Here is a 24,814-nt window from a genome sequence, read left to right as displayed (position 1 = left end):
CAGATTGACAAAGGGGGTTATAATTTAAGTTGTGCTGATGGCTTTTGTATTAGACAAAAGCTAGTGTTGATTTTAGTAGTTATTATTCTCCCCTGCAGTTTAAATTGCTTTTTTTACTAGGAGCAAAAGAGCAGTAGGAGAAAAACAATTCTAACCTTACATAAATGCAGTTCTACAAATAGATTATTTTCGCAGATTCTGGAACCACTGAGGGAGGCATAGTCACAGATCTAAGGAATTCTAGAATTCTGGAGATGTGGCCATAAATATAACAATCTAGTTTCCTTATTTGGTGCTTTTTAAACTGTCATACCCGTGCCCTGATTATGCAAAGAGGTACCGGGGACAAGAAACTATAAGATAAGATCCCCCAGAGTGACACTGGTACAGAACCTAACACAAGGTAAGGCCCTTGGGAAATATTTGTTGAATTAATGAACCCCCTAGCTAATCAGTTTTACTGGATGTTAAGTAATTTAAAATTTTTTTTTCCTATTAAAACAAACCTGCACAAAGAGTGAGCCTTAGTGTATCCAGATTTTTAAAAATCAGGAGGTGGAGGAACTCCAAGATGGAATGCAGAAAGTAACAAAACAAATTTCACTGTATTGCAATCTCACTGTATTGTGATTTAACCATATTATGATCTAACTGTACTGTATGAAACAACCTCAGTGAAGGATGTTGGGGGAAAGGTGCCGGCCTTAGTAACTTTGGAAATGAGTGGAGTCTGTGAGACTAAAGGCAAAAGAAGCTGCACCTAAGCATTGCACTCTGGTTGATAAAGTAGTTACCTGTGGGGTATGAGTTAATAATTCAGATACTGCTGTACATGTATTCTGGAAATGAACAATTTAAGTAAATGAATGACAGATGGTGGGAGTTAGATTTATCATTGCTGAATGAGAGTTTAGCAAAGAGAGAAGGCTAGAAGAATCCATGTGTTAATGCAGGGGTTCCCAAGTCCTGGATCACAAAGTCTCTTGGCCTGTTAGGAACCAGGCTGCACATCAGAAGGCCAGCAGCAGGTGAGCAGGCAAGGCTTGATCTGTACAGCCACACCCCATCTCTCGCATTACTGCCTGAGCTCCACCTCCTGTCAGATCAGCCGTAGCATTAGATTCTCATAGGAGCATGAAGCCTGTTGTGAACTGCACATGCAAGGGGTCTAGGATGCGCACTCCTTTTGAGACTCTAATGCCTGGGCCACGTGCGGCGGCTCACACCTGTAATCCCAGCACTATGGGAGGCCGGGGCGAGTGGATCACCTGAGGTCAGGAGTTTGAGACCAGCCTGGCCAACATGGTGAAAACCTGTCTTTTATAAAAATACAAAAATTAGCCAGGCATGGTGGCGGGTGCCTGTAATCTCAGCTACTCGGGAGGCTAAGGCAGAAGAATCACTTGAACCTGGGAGGCGGAGATTGCAGTGAGCCAAGGACGCACCAGTGCACTCCAGCCTGGGCAACAGAGTGAGACTCTCTCTTAAAAAAAAAAAAAAAAAAAAGCCTGATGATCTGTCACTGTTTCCCGTCACCCCTAGATGGGACCATCTAGTTGCAAGAAAACAAGCTCAGGGTTCCCACTGATTCTACATTACAGTGAGTTGTATGATTACTTCATAATGTAATAATAATAGAAATAAAGTGCTCAATAGATGTAATGTGCTTGAATCATCCTGAAAGCATCCCCGCATCCTCCCACCCCGTTCGTGGAAAAACTGTCTTCCATGAAACCGATCCCTGGTGCCAAAAAAGTTGGGGACAGCTGTTTTAATGGATTTCATTTGGAAACATTGTATGAAGATTAATTTAATATAGATACAAATGTATATGTACGGATGGAAATATTTTTAGATATGTTTCCTTGCTCCATCAGCTAAGAAGGACTAGAAGAAACAATTATCACACATACCTAGCAAGTGGATATTGGTTTCTAATGCCATTCACCAGTAAAAAAACACACAGGACTACTTGGAGAAATTGACTGATTCTAGGACTGAGGCTAGAAATACTCAAGATCAGCCTGGAGTTTCTTATAGTGCCAGAAAGTAAGAAAGTGCTTGAAAAAAAAGAACCACAGAGTCCCACAATAATAGGAGTATGTCAAAGACATGAAGGAGCCAACTGAAGGAGCTCTTAATGGCCAAAACTCGAAAAATTGGAGCAATGAAATAAAGTAAAGCAGAATTGGATTATAACCTAAAGTATAAAATAAGTATTCATAAGTCTATGCCAATAGAAATGATTGAATAAATAAATGAGGAAAAGGGGCAAATTTCCTGTGCAGAGAAATTCCAGCTGATTTATGTACTCCTCTCTCAAGTTGGAGTATAACACCTAACTTCTTAAGTGTCGGTTGGACTTAGTGACTTCCTTCAAAACTATACAGTATGAAAGGGGAAGGAAAAGGTAACTTTACCTGGAAAAAGCTGACACATGCTACCTCAGCCAGGAGATCAAGTTCAACATCAACAGTGATAAGTCATATTGATGGTATGTACATTTATTTATGTATTTATTTGTTTGTTTGTTTTTGGTAAGAGACAGGGTCTCACTCTATTGTCCAGGCTGGAGTTCAGCGGCAGAATCATAGCTCACTGCATTCTCAACCTCCCGGGCTCAAGCGATCCTCCCACCCCAGCCTCCCCAGTAGCTGGGACTACAGGTGTGCCACCACTCCCAGCTAATTTATCTAAAAATTGTTTGTAGAGATAAGGTTTCACTATATTTCTCAGGCTGGCATACTCTTGATATGATGTGCTGAGAGATGTACTTCGTCTGACCTCTTCCTCCTAAAAACCCACAACCCCAGTCTAACCATGAAAAAAATAGCAGTCAAATCCCAACTGAGAGACATCGTACAAAATACCTCACCATTCTTCAAAGTTATCCAAAATAAGGAAAGTCTGAGTATCTGTTACAGCCATAAGGAGGAGTATTTGAAAACTTGGCTGTTAAATATAATGTGATATCGTGGCCAGGTGCGGTGGCTCATGCCTGTAATCCCAGTACTTTGGGAGGCTGAGGCAGGAGGGTCACTTGAGCCCAGGAGTTCAAGACCAGCCTGGCCAACATAGTGAGACTCCTGTCTCTCTCTCTCTCTCTCTCTCCATATACATATGTATACACACACATATATACACACTCATCTATACAATATATTATAAAATATAACAATATACTATATGTATATAATATTCATATATGTATATATGATATAAAAATTGTATATGGTATATGTGTATTATATATGTTATATTTAGTATTACTATACATATATGTATACACTATATATATGTATAATGTGGTATCCTGAACCAGAAGAAGAATATTAGGTAAAAATAAAGGAAATCTGAATAAACTATAAACTTTAGTTAATATTATATCAATATTGATACATTAATTATAACAAACATATTATACTAATGTAAGATGCTAATAATAGGGTGACCTGAGTACAGGGTATATGGCAACTTTCTACCCTATCCTTGTGATTTTTCTATAAATCTAAAACTATTATAAAATAAAAAGTGTTTAAAGCTGGGCACAGTGCCTCACACCTGTAATCTCAACACTATGGGAGGCCGAGGCAGGAGGATCACTTGAGCCCAGGAATTTGAGACCAGCCTGGGCAATGTGGCAAAACCCCATCTCTATTCTTAAAAAAAAAAAAAAAAAAAAAAAAAAAAAAAAAAGTGTTTGAATCTCTAGATAGGGCATGGGTAAATGCTAAATATATATGAATCTTTAAAGATAATAGGATGAAGGCAAGCTGGGTGAGAACTGCCCCAGAATGTTAGGATATGCCTTGACTCTTCAGTGGTGGCAACGTTTATGGTTCATAGAACAGCTTCTTAAACTTTGGACTTTGCCTGAGCTAACTCCAAGGAAACTTCAAGGATTTATGATCCTTTTGTTGTTTAAGGCGTGGAATAAAGCGAAAGACTTGGAGTTCTGTAATGATTAACCAAGATGTTTACATTATCCAGGTTTAGAAAGAACTTCATGTATAAAGAATTAAATCAATCACTTAACAGTAAGACTTACTAAAATATTTTGTTTTTATAATTCATGAAAGTGATAAGTAAAGCTACTTTATTCTAGCAGTATTTTCTTGCTCACTTTTAAAGTCCTTTGGAAGTTTATAATGACTGCATATATTTATTCAAATAATTCACTCAACCTCATTTCCCTCTTTTCACTTTTCTTTGCAAATCTAATATCCCAGGTAATTCTTGGGGATGAAAAATCTTATCCATTTAGTTTATATTTAATATAGATACTTAAAAGCCTTTTAAAATGTATTATACTTACTTTTCTTTATATAAGGCCCATCGTAGCTATTGTGTTATAACTTGTGTTTTAATCCTAAGTAAATCATACTTAGTTTTGAAAAAAAGTCTCATCAGACTAAATACATGTTCTATTTTGTTTAATAACATTATAGACATTATAAGTGAACTTTTTTCTCTCCTTCCTTCCTCCCTCCCTCCCTTCTCCGATCCTGCCTCTCTTCCTTCCTATTAAAATGCTTATTGAGCATCTGCTTTGGTTGGGATTTAGGAAAATCAATATAAATAACATATGGTTGGTATCAAGGAGCTCACAGTCTAGCACAAGAAGCAGATGAATGGGCAGATAATTACACCTCATATTATGATGAGGTTTAGGCTAGAGAAGTGCCAAGATAGGCATGATGAAACACAGGACAGAAAGCTGTTACTCAGACAAGGAGTCCTTTCTGTCCAGTCCCCTCCCCTCACAGAAAATGTGGCTGTCACTTTCAAGAGGTTGCCTCTTCTGCCCTGAGGTGCATCTGAAATGTGATCACTTCAATCAATTTCCAAATGCATCATATGTAATGGAATCAACCTTCTTTCTTACTATGTTCCAACTTCTCTTTGCAACATCTTCTACGAGTAAAAACTAAGATGTTTTGACAAATCCTTGTGAGGGTAATGAAATTCTTTCTGTTCTCCAGGTCCTTTCCACATTAAATACATAAAGCAAAGTGGTTTAGAAAACTGATCAGGTTTGATGGCGTCATGTACTATTTAGCTAAATATTTGAATAGAAAGCCCGATTCTTTTAAAGGTTTAGAAAGCTAATGAAATAATTTTGAATATTTCTATAAAACTGTCTTCTCTGATAATATTTTGGCTTTTTAAAGTTGTTGGTGATTAGGGACGCCTGGTTTTCACAACAATCCAAAGTGATAAATAGCTATCAAGCCATAATCTGTTAGTGCTGGTCTCAATGACTGTCTCAGAAAAAGAATGTCCCCATTGTAATGTTGCAAGGGGCAAAGTGGACGCATTTCAGAGGGTCTTAGTGTCACATTTACTTCAAAATGTGCTGAATATCATGGTCTCGTGTTATATTACTGTGTAAGGCAGTGCCTGCATCAATACACAAAACCTTATTATGTAGAATAGATAAGCACTACCAACAAATACTAACGCTGACATATGAGCTGTTAAACTGTCTCTCAGCTCAGTCTTCCAGCCATCAAACTCTGCAGTAGACTTTCTAAGGATTTCATGTAGAAAATGTTTTATTAAAATTCTTATTTATTACTTAATTCAGGACAGAGATAGTTTTAATTTGTGAACATTGGAAGAAAAAAATATGTTATTTATGTGTAAATTAGAAATACCCCACCATGCTTTATTGAGTGTTTAAATCGTATCCTGCAGAGAGTCTGCTAATGCTGAATCTTAGTGGAAGATATTTATGCAAGTGCCAGGCCGACATCTGAACTCTCCTTTTGTGAGAGCCAACCATTTCTGAAAAGAAAGAGACTACTGCTTACACAAAGCACTTAGTATATTACCTGGCTTGAATAAACTGTGGGTGAAAGTCTGGGTGCAGTTTTGGTTTGTCAACAATAGTTTCACTAAATAAGGAAAGTCCTCAAGGCAGTTCTTTGATTCAACAGCACACTGGCAGATCATGCCTCAAATCAAATGTAGATAAGGAGAGCTCTGCGGAGGAGCTGTAACTGGCACCACCCAGGGTGAGCGCACCCTCCCCGGCATGTGGAGGAAAAACCTGATGCTGTTTCATACTGAGTAAGGTGCTGTTACCAGAAGAAGAAACAGACAGGATTTGGGGCTTCACCGAGGTCCGTGATTCAATAGAAGACACTTCGTCAGTTACAGGGCTGGGCTTCATTCATCTCCCAGAACACTGTTCTGCAGAAGTGTGGTGGGTAGTAGGCTGAGGCAGGAATTACCTCCCGGGAAAGGCTATCCAGAACGCATGGCCAAGTGGCTGCCCAGGTCTCCAGAGCATTTGCTATTCTTCTTCCTTAACTTACCTCCTTTTCTCTTTTCTCCCCTTCAGTTTGTTGGGAGTAACCATTACTCATCCTTTATGATTCTAATCAGACACCACCTGTGCCAGGAAATATTTCTTGTGACCAGCCTGGCCAACATGGCGAAACCCTGTCTCTACTAAAAAATACAAAAATATTGCCAGGCGCGGTGGTTCAGGCCTGTAATCCCAGAACTTTGGGAGGCTGAGGCGGGTGGATCACTTGAAGTCAGGAGTTCGAGACCATCCTGACCAACATGGTGAAACTCCGTCTCTATTAAAAATACAAAAATTAGCTGGGCGTGGTGCCAGGCGCCTGTAATCCCAGCTACTTGGGAGACTGAGGCAGAAGAATTGCTTGAACCTGGGAGGCGGAGATTGCAGTGTGCTGAGATTGTGCCATTGCACTCCAGCCTGGTCGACAGAGCAAGACTCGGTCACAAAAAAAAAAAAAAAAAAAAAAACCTGGGCGTGATGACGCATGCCTGTAATCCCAGCTATTTGGGAGGCTGAGGCAGGAAACCTGCTTGAGCTTGAACCCTGGAGGTTGAGGCTGCAGTGAGTTGAGATTGTGCCACCGTACTCCAGCCTGGGTGACAGATGTGCCAGGATAACTTAGTTGCCCCCATGGTCCCACCACACGCTGTAGCAGTTACCACCTGCAGGGTGGGTGGGCGCCCCTTGAATTCTCTTTATGATGTTATTACTCCAGCAGTGCATGGCGATCGCAGTCACTACTTGAACATTTGTCCAGACAAAAACTTTAAAGAGAAGCGAGAATGTGATAATGAAGGGTGATGGGGAATTGGTCGGGAGGAGAATGATTTGCAAGACAGAATGCAGCCTGCTCTGAAATCACCAGTGTGGATTTCAGCACAAGAGGAAAAAGATGAAGGCAAATGTAGTCACTCCCAGACTGGAAGAGAAGAGGAACAGAGTGAGGACAGGAACAACTCTTCCTCTTGGAAGCAAAAGAGGAGTTATGACAAAATAAATCTCAACAGGGAGAAGGCTGGAGTGCCGGAAATATGTGTGCATGTGTACATATGTGTGGATACATGTGTATATAGACAGCATATACATGACACTGAAAGTGTAAACAATTGTGCCAGCCATTCTTGGCATGTTTCCCTTTGCTTTCGAGAGGAATTTTCTGGGTATGCCATGACTGGCGTTAATTCAAATGAGATAATCCCAGCAGAAATACTTACCAGGTCACTCCAAAACCCAGATAACATTCCAAGTTTTAAGGTAATTATTTCTGTCCTTCTCTCAGAGGTGATTAGGCCACACTACTACTTCCCAACCTTATCAAAAAAGAGATCCACGAGAAGTCTGTTACTCATGATACTGGCACTGTTAATAGATTCAGAAGGATCCTACTCAAGAAGCTATAAGGATGACTAATTTTTGTTCAAATATGATAAACTGGGTCACAGAGTTCTAGCAAGACTGCCTGGTATCTCTAATCGGGGCCAAGCGTGGTGGATCATGCCTGTAATCCCAGCTCTTTGGGAGTCTGAGGTGGGAGGATTGCTTGAGCCCAGGAGTTCTAGACCAGCCTGTGCAACATAGTGAGACACTGCCTCTATTAAAAAAATAAAAAGAATAAAAAATAAAATCTTCTAAATCTAATATTAGGGAAACCAACGTAAAGATAGCTATGTAAGAATGTGGCTCCTGATTAAAAAGAACATTACCTAGTCAAATTACTTGTGAGTTATTACTGTCACAATTTTCCCTATCATAGGTCAGAAGTCAGGAAACTTACTCTAGAAAGGGCCAGACAGTAAATATTTTCAGCTTTGCACACCGCACTGTCTCTGTCACCATGACTTAACTGTGCCATTGTCGTGTGAAAGCAGCCACAGGTAATACACAAACAAATTTGTATGGCTGTGTTTCAATAAAATTGTGGGAGTATAAGAAAGGGTTTCTAGCTCTTTGGGGTTTTTTAGTATCCTGTCTGCATTTTAGGCTGCAATAACATATACAGGGTAAAGGATTTTGATCTAGGTAGGATCAGGATTTGAATGCTTGCTCTGCCCCTAATTAGCTTTGTGACACTGGGTGATGTCATTTAACTTTCTATGCCTTGATTTCCTTATCAATAATATAGGTTAACACTGGTAGTTATGTCATTGGGTTGTTGTGGGAATTAAATACAATAGGTGTCAAGCACAGAGCATGGTAACTGCTTAATAATGTCATCTGTGGGCAGGCACGTTCGCTGACACTCATAATCCCAGCATTGTGGGAGGCTAAGGAGGGAGAATTGCTAGAGGCCAGGAGTTCCAGATCAGCCTAGGCAGGATAGCAAGACCCCCATATCTACAAAAAGTAAAAAAATTAGCCAGGCTTGGTTGCATGCGACTGTGGCCCCAGCTACTCAGGAGGCTCAGGTGGGAGGACTGCTTGAGCCCAGGAGTTTGAGGCTGTGGTGAGCTATGATTGCAGCACTGCACTGTAGCCTGAGTAACAGAACAAACCCTATAAAAATAATTAAATAGCCGGGTACAGTGGCTCATGTCTGTAATCCCAGCATTTTGGGAGGCCGAGGCGAGCGAATCACTTGAAGCCAGGAGTTCGAGACCAACCTGGGCAACATGGTGAAACCGTGTCTCTACTAAAAATACAAAAATTAGCTGGGTGTCGTGGTACGTACCTGTAATTCCAGCTGCTTGAGAGGCTGAGGCATGAGAATTGCTTGAACCCAGGAGGAAGAGCTTGCACGGAGCCTAGATCGCACCACTGTACTCCAGCCTGGGCGACAGAGCAAGATTCCGTCTCAAAAAAAAAAAATAAAATAAAATAAAATAAATAAATGTTATCTGTGACATGCATTTACAATGTCCTCAAAAATGCCACATTCATCACCAAGAAAGCCAAGCACTGCCTCACCTGCCTGTGAACTCAGCAATTTTAAATTCTACAGAGTGATTCCCAACCATTATAAATGTTGGCTGCCTATAAGTTCTATACACGGACTAGCTCCTTCAGGGGCTCACCTAATGATTACTTTTAAGGTTAAAAATTAAGGTAACCAGGCCGGGCAAGGTGGCTCACGCTTATAATCCCAGTACTTTGGGAGGCCAAGGCGGGTGGATCATTTGAGGTCAGGAGTGTGAGACCAGCCTGGCCAACATGCTGAAACCCCATGTCTACTAAAAATACAAAAATTAGCCGGCTGTGGTGGCAGGCACCTGTAATCCCAGCTACTTGGGAGGCTGAGGCAGGAGAATTGCTTGAACCCGGGAGGTAGAGGTTGCAGTGAGCCAAGATCGTGCCACTGTATTCCAGCCTGGGCAATAGAGTGAGACTCCAACTCAAAAAAAAAAAAAAAAAAAAAATTATCATAAATGCCTTTAAGCAGTCCTGCATAGCAAAAAGACATGAGACCTTTTTACATTTTTAAAATTAATGTAATGGTGTCATTTAATTGCACTTGCTCACAATTTCGTGTTCTCTTCCAGGGAACAAGGCTCTTTTGTCTTTGATTTTCCAATCAAACCAGAACAATTTGCATTCTGGTTTGCCTCTTCTCCAAAGAATCACAACTCCTCGCCAGCAAGGGAGAAAAACTGGGCAGAGAATGAATTTAATGAGTTGACAGAAGTAGGCTTCAGAAAGTGGGTAATAACAAACTACTTCGAGCTAAAGGAGCATGTTCTAACCCAATGCAAGGAAGCTAAGAACCTTGACAAAAGGTTAGAGAAATTGCTAACTAGAATAACCAGTTTAGAGAAGAACATAAATGACCTGATGGAGCTGAAAAACACAGCACGAGAGAGAGCTGGTGAGGCATACCCATGTATCAATAGCCAAATCGATCAAGCAGAAGAAAGGATATCAAAGATTGAAGATCAACGTAATGGAATAAAGCATGAATACAAGATTAGAGAAAAAAGAATGAAAAGGAATGAACAAAGCCTCCAAGAAATATGGGACTCTGTGAAAAGACCAAACCTACGTTTGATTGGTGTACCTGAAAGTGACGGGGAGAATGGAACCAAGTTGGAAAACACTCTTCAGGATATTATCCAGGAGAACTTCCCCAACGTAGCAAGACAGGCCAGCATTCAAATTCAGGAAATACAGAGAACACCACAAAGATACTCCTCGAGAAGAGCAACCCCAATACAGCAAGCGCTTAGTAAACGTCTTCTGAAGGAATACTCGTAACCGGATAGAATGGAGACGAGGAACCAATTTAAAATAAAAGTACCTGCCTGTGATTCCCAGCGTGTTTCCCAAGGCCATGGTTTCCCATTCTATATCCAGACCCTTCCAGGGACAGGACTATTCTCAGAGCAAAGAGTCATTTTCTCTAGCTTCTTTGCAGTGATGAATAAAAGCCACTGTGGAACTCATTCTATTCTCTCAGTAGTGAAGAAATGTCACTAGAAATGTAAGACATGTAACTGGCTAGATTTTTCTATAAACCCGACTAAAATTTTCTCTCATGCCCCTATTCAGTGGAAGAGATTTAAACCCAGCCAATTCCAGTTTTCTTCTTTCTTGCTTGCTCTGTCATTGTGTCTATAGCATTGTGGGAGCTGGGGTTCATCTAGTCCCTGGCTATTACATCTCCAAGCCACATCCCTGAGAGACGCATCATCTGGCCTGGCCCTGGTCACCAGGTGCACAGTCCATGTGTGCTGTGCTCCATTGCCATCTGGGCAATTCTCTCTGATGCATTGCCCTTTCTGCTCTGTCCCTCCTCCCCCCAGGCACCCAGAATCGACTCTGTCCTCTATGTTCCACCATCTTCCCTTCCATGGAGCATTAGGCATGGCTGTCTTAGGTGATTTAGAACATCCTAAATATGCAAACGAAACTCGTTAATATTCCAAAATTATTCTGCTGCATAGATTATTCAAATTTAGATCAACTGGCCTGGCGCTGTGGCCCATGCCTGTAATCCCAGCACTTTGGGAGGCTGAGGTGGGTGGATCACTTGAGGTCAGGAGTTCAAGACCAGCCTGGGCAACATGGCAAAACCCCTTCTCTACCAAAAATACAAAAATCAGCTGGTTATGGTGGTGCATGCCTGGAATCTCAGATACTCAGGAGGCTGAGGCAGGAGAATAGCTTGAATGCAGGAGGCAGAAGTTGCAGTAAACTGAGATCACGCCACCACATTCCAGCCTGGGTGACGGAGCGAAACTCCATCTCAAAAAATACACATAATTAGTTAATTAAGATTAACTGGACAAGGGGAATGTACACCTGTGTACAAGCAGCCTATGCGACTGCCAGACACCATTTTGGGCCAAAGGGTAAAAGACATTGGGAAATAGATTGGGCTTGCCATATAAAACAAACAAACAAATAACCAAAACAAAAGAACTTGAAGCAATTAAAGCTATCCAAAAATAAAAGTCGCTGCCTCTTTAGCTAGTGGTTTACTGGGCAGAAAATATTCAGCTGCAGTTCAATGCTTGCTTAGGCAGATGTTAGAGAAGAAACTTATGGGTAAGGGTTGGAATAAATTGTCTTTAATACTTTCTAAAATATAGAAGTTCTGCGATTTCTTAGGAAGGGTGTGTGTGTATACAGAGGGAAAGAGAAAGATGAATTGGCTCACACAAACATGGAGGCTTAGTAAACTCAAAATCTTCAGAGGAGGCTAGCAGGCTGGAGACGCAGGGAAGAATTGCTGCTGAAGTTCAAAGGCAGAACTCCCATCTTGACTTGGGAGAGGTCAGTCTCTTATTCCATTCTGGCCTTTAACTGACTGGATGAGCCCTACCCACATTACAGAGGGTAATCTGCTATATTCAAAGTCCAACAATTTAAATGTTGATCTAGGCCAGGCGCGGTGGCTTACGCCTGTAATCCCAGCACTTTGCGAGCCCAAGGTGGGTGGATCCCTTGAGGTCAGGAGTTTGAGACCAGCCTGGCCAACGTGATGAAACCCCACCTCTACTAAAAATACAAAAAATTAGCTGAGCATGGTGGCGGGCGCCTGTAGTCCCAGCTACTTGGGAGGCTGAGGCAGGAGAATGGCGTGAACCCAGGAGGCGAAGCTTGCAGTGAGCTGAGATCTTGCCACTGCACTCCAGCCTGGGTGACAGAGCAAGTCGCCATCTCAAAAAAAAAAAAAAAAAAAAAATCAGCCAGGTGTGCTGGCGAGCACCTATAATCCCAGCTACTTGGGAGGCTGAGGCAGGAGAATTGCTTGAACCTGGGAGGCGGAGGTTGCAGTGAGCAGAGATCACACCACTTTACTTCAGCCTGGGCGACAGAAGGAGACTCTGTCTCAAAAAGAAAAAAAAAATGTTGATCTTATCCAGAAAAACACTTCACAGAAGAAACATCCAGGATGACGTTTGACCAGATATCCAGGTGCCCCACAGTCCAGCCAAACTGACGCATAAAATTAACCATCACTCTGTGGTTCGCCACCATAACTCATTCCAGTTCCTACTTAGTTTTCCATGTCCTATCCACCCAGTAACGTTCAATAAGTCTGATCAAGAAAACAGCTTTTGAGATTCTGAGATAAAAGGTGCTGTATCATTACCCAGGCTTTCTGCTTCCTTCTTCTCCACTCTCCCCGCTCCCATTTTCTTTCCTTCTTTTTTTCCCTCCACCTCCCCTTTTGCTGGGCAGAGAAAGAGGTTAGAGAAGGAAAGATAAGTTTCAACAGCAATAGGTTTGCAGCAGTGATATGGTAGCATGTTGCAACACTATTATGCCTGAGGCAAGTGTATCTAAAAGACAAGCTTTCTTAGATGCATGTTAACTATATAATAAATCAGCACTTCTGGATCTTAGAACTTTGATGTCTTTATAGAGATTTCTCTTCTCCCTTCTCAGGTAGGTAATTTTAAAAGTGAAGCCAAGTCTGATGTATTAAAGTTTGGCTCCCAATTTCCTATAGGTAAAGTTTAAAAACCTTTTACATATGATTACTTACATCATTGCTTTATTGCAAAAGGGACTACTAGATCTCAGGCAATCATCCTGTTCTCTTCTGAGCCCTTCAGCTAAGAGTAGCTTTGCCAGTTAAGATGTGGACAAGAACCAGGGTTCTCGTCTCCACATGGAAAGTTACAGGCCTGGAATGACAAGTGCAGAAAGAGGGATACCTTTTGGAACACCTAGGACAAGGCTGCCCTCATAATGATTATATTTTAGAATGAATGCATTAGCTGAAAGGGCAGAAGAAAATTCTTTAATTTCAAATCAAACTAAAAGTGCAATTGCTAACTGTTAAATGAGTAAGTTTTGATATGTTGCTTGATAAAACAAGGTTGATTTAATTTAACAAAAAAAAAACTTTCAAAATAAATTTTTGTTTTAAATCGCCAAACCCCATAAACAACTCATCTGTCCACCAATTGGCAAATGGATAAACAAATTTGGTTCATCCGCATAAAGAAAATACCATGTAACAATGAAAAGGAGCTAGGCGCGGTGGCTCACGCCTGTAATCCCAGTACTTTGGGAGGCCGAGGCAGGTGGATCACCCGAGGTCAGGAGTTCAAGACCATCCTGGCCAACTCGGTGAACGCTGTCTCTACTAAAAATGCAAAAATTAGCAGGACATGGTGGCGGGCGCCTGTAATCCCAACTAATGAGGAGGCTGAGGCAGGAGAATCACTTGAACCTGGGAGGCGGAGGTTGCAGTGAGCCGAGATCGTACCATTGCACTCCAGCCTGGGTGACAAGAGCAAAACTCTTTCTCAAAAAAATTAAAATTAAGACAATAAAAAGAAACAAATCACGACTACTTGTAACAACTGGATAAATTTCAAAAGCATTATGCTAGGTGAAAGAAGCCAGACTTAAAACACTACCTACTATACAACTCTACTTATATAACTTTTTGGAAAAAGTAAAACTATAGGAACAGAAATCAGACCAGCAATTGCTAGGGAACTGTGATGGCAGGATGGGGTAGCCTATAAGGTGTATGAGAGATTTTGTAGGGGTTATGAGAATATTCTGTATGTTGATTGTGGTGGTGGTTACATGACTGCTTAAGTTTGTCAAAATTTATAAAATAGTAACATCTAAAAGGGTATATTTACTGATTATGAATTATGCCTCAATAAAGGTGAGCTCTGAAAACATGATGTAGGATGATGCAAATGTCCGCAAAGAGAGACAATGATTTCTAGCAAATGGTTTCAGCAGGGAAAAGATGGCAATTATGAATTACCAACCCCTCATGCTCTCCTGGAGCTCAATTCAACAAGGAAGGGCACTGAGCAACTGGTTGGAGAAGTAGGAGGAAGGGAAGTGACAGAGCACAACCCTGTTCTCTGTGCAATTCTAGACACTTCTGCTGAGATTTGCTTGTGCTTCAGTTTCTTCATCAAATACTTACCCTATCTTGTTTTTTTTTTTTTTGGAGACGGAGTCTCACTCTGTCACCCAGGCTGGAGTACGATGCTGTGATCTCCGCTCACTGGAACCTCTGCCTCCCGGGTTCAAGCGATTCTCCTGCCTCAGCCTCCCTAGTAGCTGGGACTGCAGGCATGCTCCAGCACACCTGGCTAACTTTTGTATTTTTAGTAGAGACATGGTTTTGCCATGTTGGCCAGCCTGGTCTCGAACCCCTGAGCTTAAGTGATCCACCCGCCTCAGCCTCCAAAAGTGCTGGGATTACAGGCGTGAGCCACCATGCCTGGCCTCACTTGCCCTATATGAAGATTGAAAACATACACAACAATTTAAAGCTTCTTGGTGCATGAAGGTGTTGGACAGGTGATTCCCCCAGAAGAGAAGCCATGTTCTGTCTGGAACTTTCTTCATGGGTGTATTAAGTGGAGTTAGTTGTGTTTCCTTCTTTCTGTTTCTGGGCGGTGCCTTTTGGTGGTACATAAGAAAAAAGAAAAAATATATAAATATATAAAAAAATATATATATATATTTTAAAGGAGTCTTCTATTTGCCTTGAAGAGCTAACCAAAAAGGGGGGAGGGTGCCAGCATAAGTCAGCAAAGGAGTTTTAGGGCAGTGACGTGCCACTAAAAGTGCCAGCCAGTGTTTCATTTGGACTCAAAGCCAGCGAGAGGTAGCAGAAACAGCATGATTGAATCCTAATTGTCAGCAGAAGGGGAGGAGTAGTGAAATAGAAGCCCTGACGGTGAGAAAAGAAAGTTAAAAGAAAAAGACGGCCAGGAACTGTGGCTCACGCCTGTAATCCCAGCACTTTGGAAGGCCGAGGCAGGCAGATCATTTGAGGTCAGGAGTTCGAGAACAGCCTGGCCAACATAGTGAAACCCCGTCTCTACTAAAAATCCAAAAATTAGCCAGGCATGGTGGTGCACGCCTGTAATCGCAGCTACTCGGGAGGATGAGGCAGGAGAATTGCTTGAGCCAGGCAGGCGGAGGTTGCAGTGAGCAGAGATCATGGCACCGCACTCCAGCCTGGGCGACAGAGCAGACTCTATCAGAAAAAAAAAAGAGAGAGAGAAGAGAATGTAGGTCTTAATAGATTCAAATAGGCATCTCAAATTGCATCCACCAGTGACTTGAACTACTGAGCTACCTCCAAAGTATACTGTGTCATTTAAACATCTCGTTTCCTAGTGCCATATGCCCTAATTTGCTAGGGCCTTAAATCCGTTTTCTTCTCTGCAACATACAGTCATTAATGCATACTCTGCATTCTCCCCACAGGGGAATGTGGGAAAGCCATTTGTGCAGCCCTGACATACTGCTGACTTGCACTGGAATTGCAAGTCAGATGTTACCTCAAGATCCTCTGAAAAATACACGGCATCATTACTGCTAGCTTGCTTATCAGCTCAGTCTTGCATTGTGAATAAGCTGCAGATCTCTGGCTTTTGCAAGCTGTGTGCTTTTTCTCTTCCCTCACCTGAGACCACTCATTGTGCACACCTGTGTTAATCGGACAACGAGCATTTGAGCCCTGTGCTAGATGCTGCAAGAGATAGGGAAAGATTATCAGAGCTACCTATAGAGAATAACCCCAGGCAAAGAAATCAGTTGGAGCCAAGGAGAGTTCCACTGTTATCAGTAAGTCTAGCTTCCCAGGAATAGTTTGCTTGTCCTGCCTCTCCTCTCCTGGGATGCTTCCCCATAACTTGACTCTTCAGGAGTATCTTTTGAGCCCACCAGTAACCTTCGGTGTAGGGAGATAAAAAAGAATATATACTCTTCATAATAGCTAAAACTTACTTCCTATGTTCATATGGTGCTAGGTGCTTTCCATGTACTATTTTATTTACTATTAAAAACAGTCCTGGCCTGGTGCAGTGGTTCACTCCTGTAATCCTAGCATTTTGGGAGGCTGAGGTGGGTGGATCACCTGAGGTCAGGAGTTTGAGACCAGCGTGGCCAACATGGCAAAACTCCGTCTCTACTAATCATATAAAAATTAGCCGGGCATGGTGGCACACACCTGTAGTCCCCGCTACTTGGTAGGCTGAGGCAGGAGAATCACTTGAACCTGGGAGGCAGTGGTTGCAGTGAGCCGAAATTGCATCACTGCACTCCAGCCTGGACAGTGGAGCGAGACTCTGTCTCAAAATATAAAAAAATAAAAAATAAAAACAGTCCTATAAGGAAGGTGCTATTAGCACTTCCATTTTCCCAGTAAGAACACAGAGACCTAGAGAAGTGAACGTATTTGTTGAAGGGCATTCAGCTACTTAGAGGGCAGAGCTGATATTTAGCCTGTGCATTGACAAGACTAGAGTTCTTATCCATTCAGCAAAGACTACTCCATCCTTGTAAAGTAAAGCCGTTTTTTTTTTGTTTTTTTTTGTTTTTCTGAAGTCATGGACATCTCTAAACATGGCCTTTTATCTTTCAAAATATGAAGGATTTATGATTAGGGACTATAAGATCCTGTGCAAAAGGGATATAGCATCAGTTTGGCCTAGATTCAAATCCTGGCTCAACAACTTAATGGTTGTGTAAACACAAGTGAGTTGCTTGTTCTTCCAGCTCTATCAACTGTAAAATTAGAATAACAATGCTTATCTCGTAGAATCATTTAAGAGTTCGATTGTGGTAGTATGTGTGAAATTAACTCAACAAATGATACTTTTTCTGCCAAGAATAATACCATTCCCTAAAAGTCAAATTATTTTCTACTCCCAGCCATTGTACATAAACATGCCTGGACATGTGTAAAGCAACGTGTGTTTTTCAAACTTTTAAAGGTTGCAGAATGCCTAAAACCCTGGTGTGTGTATTGAGTTGTGCATTGGACGTGAAGGAAGGAACAAAATTGGTATTGTATTGTCTTCTGCATGACTGCCATCTTTTCAAAAAGACTACCTAGAATGAAGACATCAAGACTGATTTGGGGCAAGACTCTCCCTTTCCCATACACAGACCTGCAAATCCTGCCTTTGTATAAAATCTTGATTCATTTGAAGCTGGAATTCTATTTGTTTACAGCTGTATATCTCATGAAAGACATCAATGAATTGGAAATCATCACAGGTTTAAAGAAACTTGGAGTCAGATTAATTTGCCTATGTCATTAGGGAGCATTTAAGTTTTAGTTACATGCAATGTAGGAATCTCTTCCATTATATCTCAATTAATTATCTGAACTCAAATATTTATTTATTAGTAGAGTTGGGAGCTCACTTGCTGTGTTCCTTCAATAGTAACGAACAGTTCCTTCAATTTTTAAACACATTGAGCCTTTCTGTAACCTACCCTTACTAGTTCTAGCTTTTGTGTAAACTAAGTCTCACTTCCGCATGTGTAGATGAAAATGCAAGGTCCATCTCTATCTCCAGCCATCTTTTCTGGGTGAAACAGCTTCCAGTTCCTTACTGCTTCCTATCAACAGCGTCCAGTCTCCTGGCTATATCCATTACCTCATCCCTCAGCTCGACACCCGACATTATAAGGAGGCTAAGATTGTATTCACTTATTTTAGGAACCCATCACCTTGTTGTTGGCTTACCACTGAGCCTGTAATGATAGAAACTGCATCAGGAAAAAAATGAGGTCCACTGACTCAGAAAAGTGGTGATGAGAGCCTGGTGTGTGTGGTGAATTTGATTAGGACAGAGGACCCAGACTGTATTGACACCCTGAAGGTCAGGAATGCTGTCAGTGGGAGGATGAACCTGTGAGACTCATACAGTCTACAAAATCCAGAAAGCTAGTGGATCAATTCGCAATGACTAATAACCGGCTGCTTCAGCCAGAAATGGCTCCAATTGATCACAAATATTTATTTTCCCTTCTATCACACAAAGTTAAAATGAAATTCTTGGTCTATGCCTCCATGAAATCTGTCGATGTTCTATATACTGCATCATTTTCACCCACCAACATGATCATCCATTGAACCCCTTTCCTGCAACTTCATATGGAAATAACCAACTTCCATAGTTATCTCAGATGTCCTCGTGTGCACAGACAGCAATACAAGTGATCCGAGTGGGAAATGAACTTGGCAAAGGGACCAAGTTGAACTCAATGTCTGGACAAAGATTGACAGGGAAACATCAAAGACTGACACATGGCATATAGTGCGGCTCACCTCTACAGGTTAAGAGGCACACAATATGAGGTGTAAATCAGGACTTCTGACCTCTGGGCTCTTATTGTTGAGACAAGAGCAAGAGAGAAACCTGTAAAATGGTTGTGAACAATAAAAGAAGGTAGAGAAGTAAACATTAAAGAATCAACGTAGGCTGGGCGCGGTGGCTCACGCCTGTAATCCCAGCACTTTGGGAGGCCGAGGCGGGTGGATCACTTGAGGTCAGGAGTTCAAGACCAGCCTGACCAACACGGAGAAACCCCATCTCTACTAAAAATAGAAAATTAGCCAGGTGTGGTGGCACATGCCTATAATCCCTGCTACTCTGGAGTCTGAGGTAGGAGAATGGTTTGAACCCGGGAGGAGGAGGTTGCGGTGAACCTATATTGCACCACTGCACTCCAGCCTGGGCAACAAGAGTGAAACTCCGTCTAAAAAAAAAAAAAAAAAGAATTAATGTAAATGGTAAAAACATTCAGAATGCATTGGACCAAGGAGGAAAGGACACAGGGACAAAGGAGGGGAAGAAATGACCTAAGATGAACTTTGAAGGATGAATAAAATTAAGTGAGATGCTGTGTGTGTGTGTGTGTGTGTGTGTGTGTGTAAAGAACTCTAAAGGTAGAACTGACTAAAATAGAAAACGTGGAACAAATACCCATCGGTGAGGGTAAATACATTCCATCAATGGTGATGGGTTTAAGGGGGTGTTGTCTAGAATGTACTGAAGCTTAGAGAAGAACAAGAGAGATTTGAGGAAATCCTGCAGAAGCGATTAGAGAATATGAATTGCTTCCCTGGACCCCAAAGGGGAAGCAGGATTACCCCCTGAAGGTTGAAAAACACAGCATTTGGATTAAGTAAAATACACTGATACTTTGCAAAGTAGGTGGAAACCTTATAGAACTTCTTAAGCTATTTATTTTGTTTTTATTACTATGATTCTTTTTCTTTTCTTTTTTTTTTTTTTTTTTTGGTTTTTTTGGTTTTTGTTGTTTTTTTTTTTGTCTCCATCTCCCAGGCTGGAGTGCAGTGGTGCAATCTCGGCTCACTGCAACCCCCACCTCCCGGGTTCAAGCAATTCTTCTGTCTCGGCCTCCCAAGTAGCTGTGACTACAGGCACGCACCACCACGCCCAGCTAATTTTTGTATTTTTAGTACGGACGGGGTTTCTCCACATTGGTAAGGCTGGTCTCAAACTCCTGACCTTAGTTGATCCACCCGCCTCAGCCTCCCAAAGTGCTGGGATTACAGGTGTGAGCCACCGTGCGTGGCCTTTTTTTCTTTTTTATTAGGCTGTAAGTTCTAAAAGCTTCTTAACCTTAAAACACGTGGACTACATATTTATTTTTCCAAAAAGCATAAATATAAACTCATGGTTCATACACACCTGGTCGGTCTCTTAATAAAGAGAAACCAGGAATGTGTCCACACCCTGACTCGTGTCAGCATCACAAAGATTAGCAATACCTTTTTTTTTTTTTTTTGAGACGAAGTCTCACTCTGTCGCCCAGACTGGAGTGCAGTGGCGTGATCTCCGCTCACTGCAAACTCTGCCTCCCGGGTTCACACCATTCTCCTGCCTCAGCCTCCCGAGTAGCTGGGACTACAGGCGCCCACCACGATGCCCAGCTAATTTTTTGTATTTTTAGTAGAGACAGGGTTTCACTGTGTTAGCCAGGATGGTCTTGATCTCCTGACTTCGTGATCCGCCTGCCTTGGCCTCCCAAAGTGCTGGGATTACAGGCGTGAGCCACCGTGCCTGGCTTAGCAATACCTTTTCTTAAATTACCCGTGGAGTTTACTAACCCCATTGACAAGACCTCATTGAGTCATTCTTGAGTTACGTCTTAAGCTGGAGATTCCATAGAACATAGATTGCATTTCTGAAAAGAAAGTTTTTCTAATGGCCTAGTACCCAAAAAGCGTCACTTGATCCTTCAAAAGTGTCCAGTTTTCTTCGAAGTAATGTGTGTATCAATACAAACTGACCGTATTGTCTCTATTTTTATATATATATATATTTTTTGAGATGGAGTCTCACTCTGTCGCCCACTGCAAGCTCCATCTCCTGGGTTCACGCCATTCTCCTGCCTCAGCCTCCGAAGTAGCTGGGACTACAGGCGCCCGCCACCACGCCCGGCTAATTTTTTGTATTTTTAGTAGAGACGGGGTTTCACCGTGTTAGCCAGGATGGTCTCGATCTCCTGACCTGGTGATTCGTCCACCTCGGCCTCCCAAAGTGCTGGGATTACAGGCGTGAGCCACCGCGCCTGGCCCCCTTATTGTCTCTCTTGATTGCCTTGTAAATCCATTGTACTTTCTAATCTGTACATTTCTACACTAGTGAGACAGAGTCACGCTCTGTCGCCCAGCCCGGAGTGCAGTGGCACGATCTCAGCTCACTGCAACCTCCGCCTCCCGGGTTCAAGCAATTATCCTGCCTCAGCCTCCCAAGTAGCTGGGATTACAGGTGTGAATCACCATAGCCGGCTGATTTTGTATTTTTAGTAGAGACGGGGTTTTACCATGTTAGCCAGGCTGGTCTCGAACTCCTGACCTCAGGTAATCCAGAAGCTTCTGCCTCCCGAAGTGCTGGGATTACAGGTGTGAGCCACTGTGCCTGGCCTAGAAAAGTCTTAAACAATAGAATTTGGGATAAGTGTTGAAAAGATTGTTTTACTGTAGATTTGGCTAAAAATAAGTGCACTATTAATATGCTGTCCTTTTAGATGGTTTATTCTTGTATGTAGTAGCACATCAGAGTATCTTAATTTTGGTTACTTGCTTTCCATTTCTAAACCACTAACTTTCCCTTTCAACAGCAAGAGCCCAAGGGCTGTTGCAATTTATTACTAATAAAGAGTTTCAATGTGACCCCTGAGTCTATTCCACCAAAAAAGTGGATTCCACTTTTTGAAACTTTTGTTTTATAAAATGAGGGGTTTTATGTTGATGTTGATGTTTGGGCTTTTTGATGTTGATGATACCAACATTTTATGCAGAAAATATTTAAATTCCAATAGAACTGCAAAGCACAATTTTTACCATGATTCCTTTCTTCTGATAGAAAACCGGAGATTAAAAACCCCAGAGCCCTTAATACCTCATTTAACTGGCAACACATTTAAATTCTTTACAAAAGCGTTAACAGAAAACTTGTGTGCGGGTGGTAGAGGCTGGCAGGGAAGCACACGCTGGCATGAAGAACGGTGTCTTTGGTCGCTATGGCTTAGGGATTAAGGAAATGCCAAAAAGGCCTTCAGGAAAAGTATATTTGTTTTGTATGTGGAGCAGCCAGAAGAAGATTTGGCACAAGTCATAAAAGGGCAAGACATTTTCTGGTATCCTGGAGAGCCTAATTTCAGCCAGGTGACTGAACTTGCTGTATGGCCTTGGTGCAAAGTGAACGGTTTCTTTGCTTTGTGCTTTTTCCAAGCTCTTACCTATAGGCTCAAAACAATAACATGGAAATGCATAAGGGAATGGCGCTCAGCAGAGCACCTCCAGCACGGTTGCTTTTGGAGCTGCGAGGATATTAGAGCTAATGACTCAGAACGGTTTTGAACTCTCGGAGGGGTTCATGTTTCCATGGCTTGGCCTGCACTGGGCACAGATAATGAAACATTGGCTGAAATAAGCATTATGATGATAGGGCGGAGAAGTCCCACGTCTCTCCTAGCAATTGCCCTTACAGTGGGATGGTGACAGAATGCTTTACTGGTGGTGGCTCTGACATGGATTTTAATGGTCTAGAAATGATTAAATTGGATATATTCCAAAGGGAAAAGACCATGGAGAAAATTAAGGATTTTTTCTCTTATTTTATCCTTTCTGTTTCTTTCTTTCCTTCCTCTCTTACCTTACCTTTCTTTCTCTCTTTCTCTTCTTTTTTCTTTTCTGCTCTTGAGGAGGTACTATTCCATACTATTATACTTTATTTAGACCTGGAAGGGACCTTAGCAGTAGTTTCCTTTTTTTTTTTTCTTTTTTCTTTTCTTTTTTTTTTTTGAGACAGAGTTTCACTCTTGTTACCCAGGCTGGAGTGCAGTGGCCCGATCTCGGCTCACCTCAACCTCCGCCTCCCGGGTTCAAGCGATTCTCCTGCCTCAGCCTCCTGAATAGCTGGGATTACAGGCATGAGCCATCACGCCCAGCTAATTTTGTATTTTTAGTAGAGGTGGGGTTTCTCCACATTGGTCAGGCTGGTCTCGAACTCCCAACCTCAGGTGATCCACCAGCCTTGGCCTCCCAAAGTGCTGGGGTTACAGGCGTGAGCCACCGCGCCCGGCCAGCAGTTGTTTTCTTAAAGCTTTCCGTTTTACAGACAGCCGTGTGGTATAGTCAAGAGACCTAGAATAAAAAGGCCTAGATTTTAGTCTAAGTTTCACCACCTACTAGGTGCATATATCTTGGGTAAATACACAGTCTTTGTGAGCCCGTTTTTTTTTTTTTTTTTTTTTCTTCATCTGTAAAATAAGAATGCTGGCCAGGGAAAGAATTCAGCCCTCCTGACTCTCAGCCCAGTGCTCCTTGGCCACTTTGCTCCAGTATTCCACTGGCATCTTCCTACTTACCTCCACAATCCTCCAGCCATGTGTCCTCCTTGCAGACCCCTAACCTTCTCCCCGGCACTGTCTGTGTCCCCTCCAAACCCATCCCTGTGATGCCAGAGAATAGCTACTCACATACTAGAAAAAGCACTGGAATTCAGTTCTTCCAAGTTCACAGCCAGCAATATTTTGATCCTCTAGGAGTGTGAAATTAAATGACAGACCAGATACCCTTGCCCATTTTCTGCCTCTTTCCCATGTGTCATACTCCAAGGGGTCAACCCTGATCTTTGGAATCTCAGCTCCAATGTCCATTGATAGGGAAAACTGCCTTGACTCCCTAGAATATAAAGCCCCCTGCTCTATGACCTTATAGTGCACTGGCCTTTCAGAGCACCTGTCACAATGTGTCATCAGAAATGCATGGGTGGCCGGGTGCAGCAACTCACGCCTGTAATCCTAGCACTTTGGGAGGCTGAGGCCAGAGGATCACCTGAGGTCAGGAGATCGAGACCAGCCTGGCCAACATGGTGAAACCCCGTCTCTACTAAAAATACAAAAATTAGCTGGGCGTGGAGGCACACGCCTGTGATTCCAGCTACTTGGGAGGCTGAGGCAGGAGAATGGCTTGAACCTGGGAGGCGGAGGTTGAGGTGAGCCATGATGGCGCCATTACACTCCAGCCTGGGAGACAGAGTGAGACTCCATCTCAAAACAAAACAAAACAAAACAAAACAAAACAAAAACAAAAAAGAAATGCATGGGGGCATCTGGTTGTGTCCCTACCTCTCGCTATGCTGTCCTATTCAGAAAGTCAGGAAGCATATCTGTTGGGCTTGTTGCCGCATCTTCGGGGCTTTGCTCAGAGCCTGGCACAAGGTGTTTCCTGGATCAAAGGCTGCTGGTGAGCGAAGGAATGGATTTAACTTTCTAATGAATGCCCTAGCACCATCATTTATTGAGAGCATATGATAGGCCAGGTTCTGAATTGGGCACTTTACATAACTTAGCTTATGTAACTTCCAAAACAACCCTCTAAGGAAGGTGTCACTAACTGCATTTTATATAAAAGGAAACTGAAGCTAATGGCAGCACCAAGAAAAATCATCCAGCCAGGTGTTGTGGCTCATGCCTGTAATCCCCACACTTTGGGAGGCCGAGGCTAGCAGATCACTTAAGCCCAGGAGTTCAAGGCCAGCTTCTGCAACATAATGAAATCTCACCTCTTCCAAAAAAAATTTAAAAACTATCCACATGTTGTGTTTCATGCCTGTAGTCCTAGCTCCTTGGGAGGCTGAGGTGGGAGATTCATGGAGCCCAGGAGGTTGGGGTTGCAGTGAACCATGATTGTACCACTGCACTCCAACCTGGGCAACAGAGAAAGATGAGAGAGAGAGAGAGAGGAGGGGAGAAGGGGAGAAGGGGGAAAGAGAGAAGGAGAGAAGGGGAGGG

The 24,814-nt window shown here is 42.4% G+C and overlaps 1 long non-coding RNA gene across 1 annotated transcript, besides 2 other annotated features; it reads left to right on the top strand.

The window, feature by feature from the left end:
* The first annotated feature begins 291 nt into the window (after window positions 1-291).
* LINC02949 (long intergenic non-protein coding RNA 2949) lies at window positions 292-10,686 on the top strand. Its single transcript, NR_186597.1, has 2 exons — window positions 292-403; window positions 9,790-10,686. It is a non-coding gene; the product is annotated as a long intergenic non-protein coding RNA 2949 (long non-coding RNA).
* Window positions 11,529-12,234: an enhancer, noted in NCBI's record as "H3K4me1 hESC enhancer chr8:8270167-8270872 (GRCh37/hg19 assembly coordinates)". NCBI's record gives its function as "activates a minimal SCP1, AML or CMV promoter by ChIP-STARR-seq in primed H9 embryonic stem cells {active_cell/tissue: H9 hESC(primed)}" and the evidence as "EXISTENCE:reporter gene assay evidence [ECO:0000049][PMID:30033119]".
* Window positions 12,235-12,942: an enhancer, noted in NCBI's record as "H3K4me1 hESC enhancer chr8:8269459-8270166 (GRCh37/hg19 assembly coordinates)". NCBI's record gives its function as "activates a minimal SCP1, AML or CMV promoter by ChIP-STARR-seq in primed H9 embryonic stem cells {active_cell/tissue: H9 hESC(primed)}" and the evidence as "EXISTENCE:reporter gene assay evidence [ECO:0000049][PMID:30033119]".

Source organism: Homo sapiens, chromosome 8 (assembly GCF_000001405.40).
Source record: "Homo sapiens chromosome 8, GRCh38.p14 Primary Assembly".
NCBI classification, from domain to species: Eukaryota; Metazoa; Chordata; class Mammalia; order Primates; family Hominidae; genus Homo; species Homo sapiens.
The sequence above is the reverse complement of the archived record's forward strand: the minus strand, read 5'-3'. Positions and strand labels throughout refer to the sequence as shown.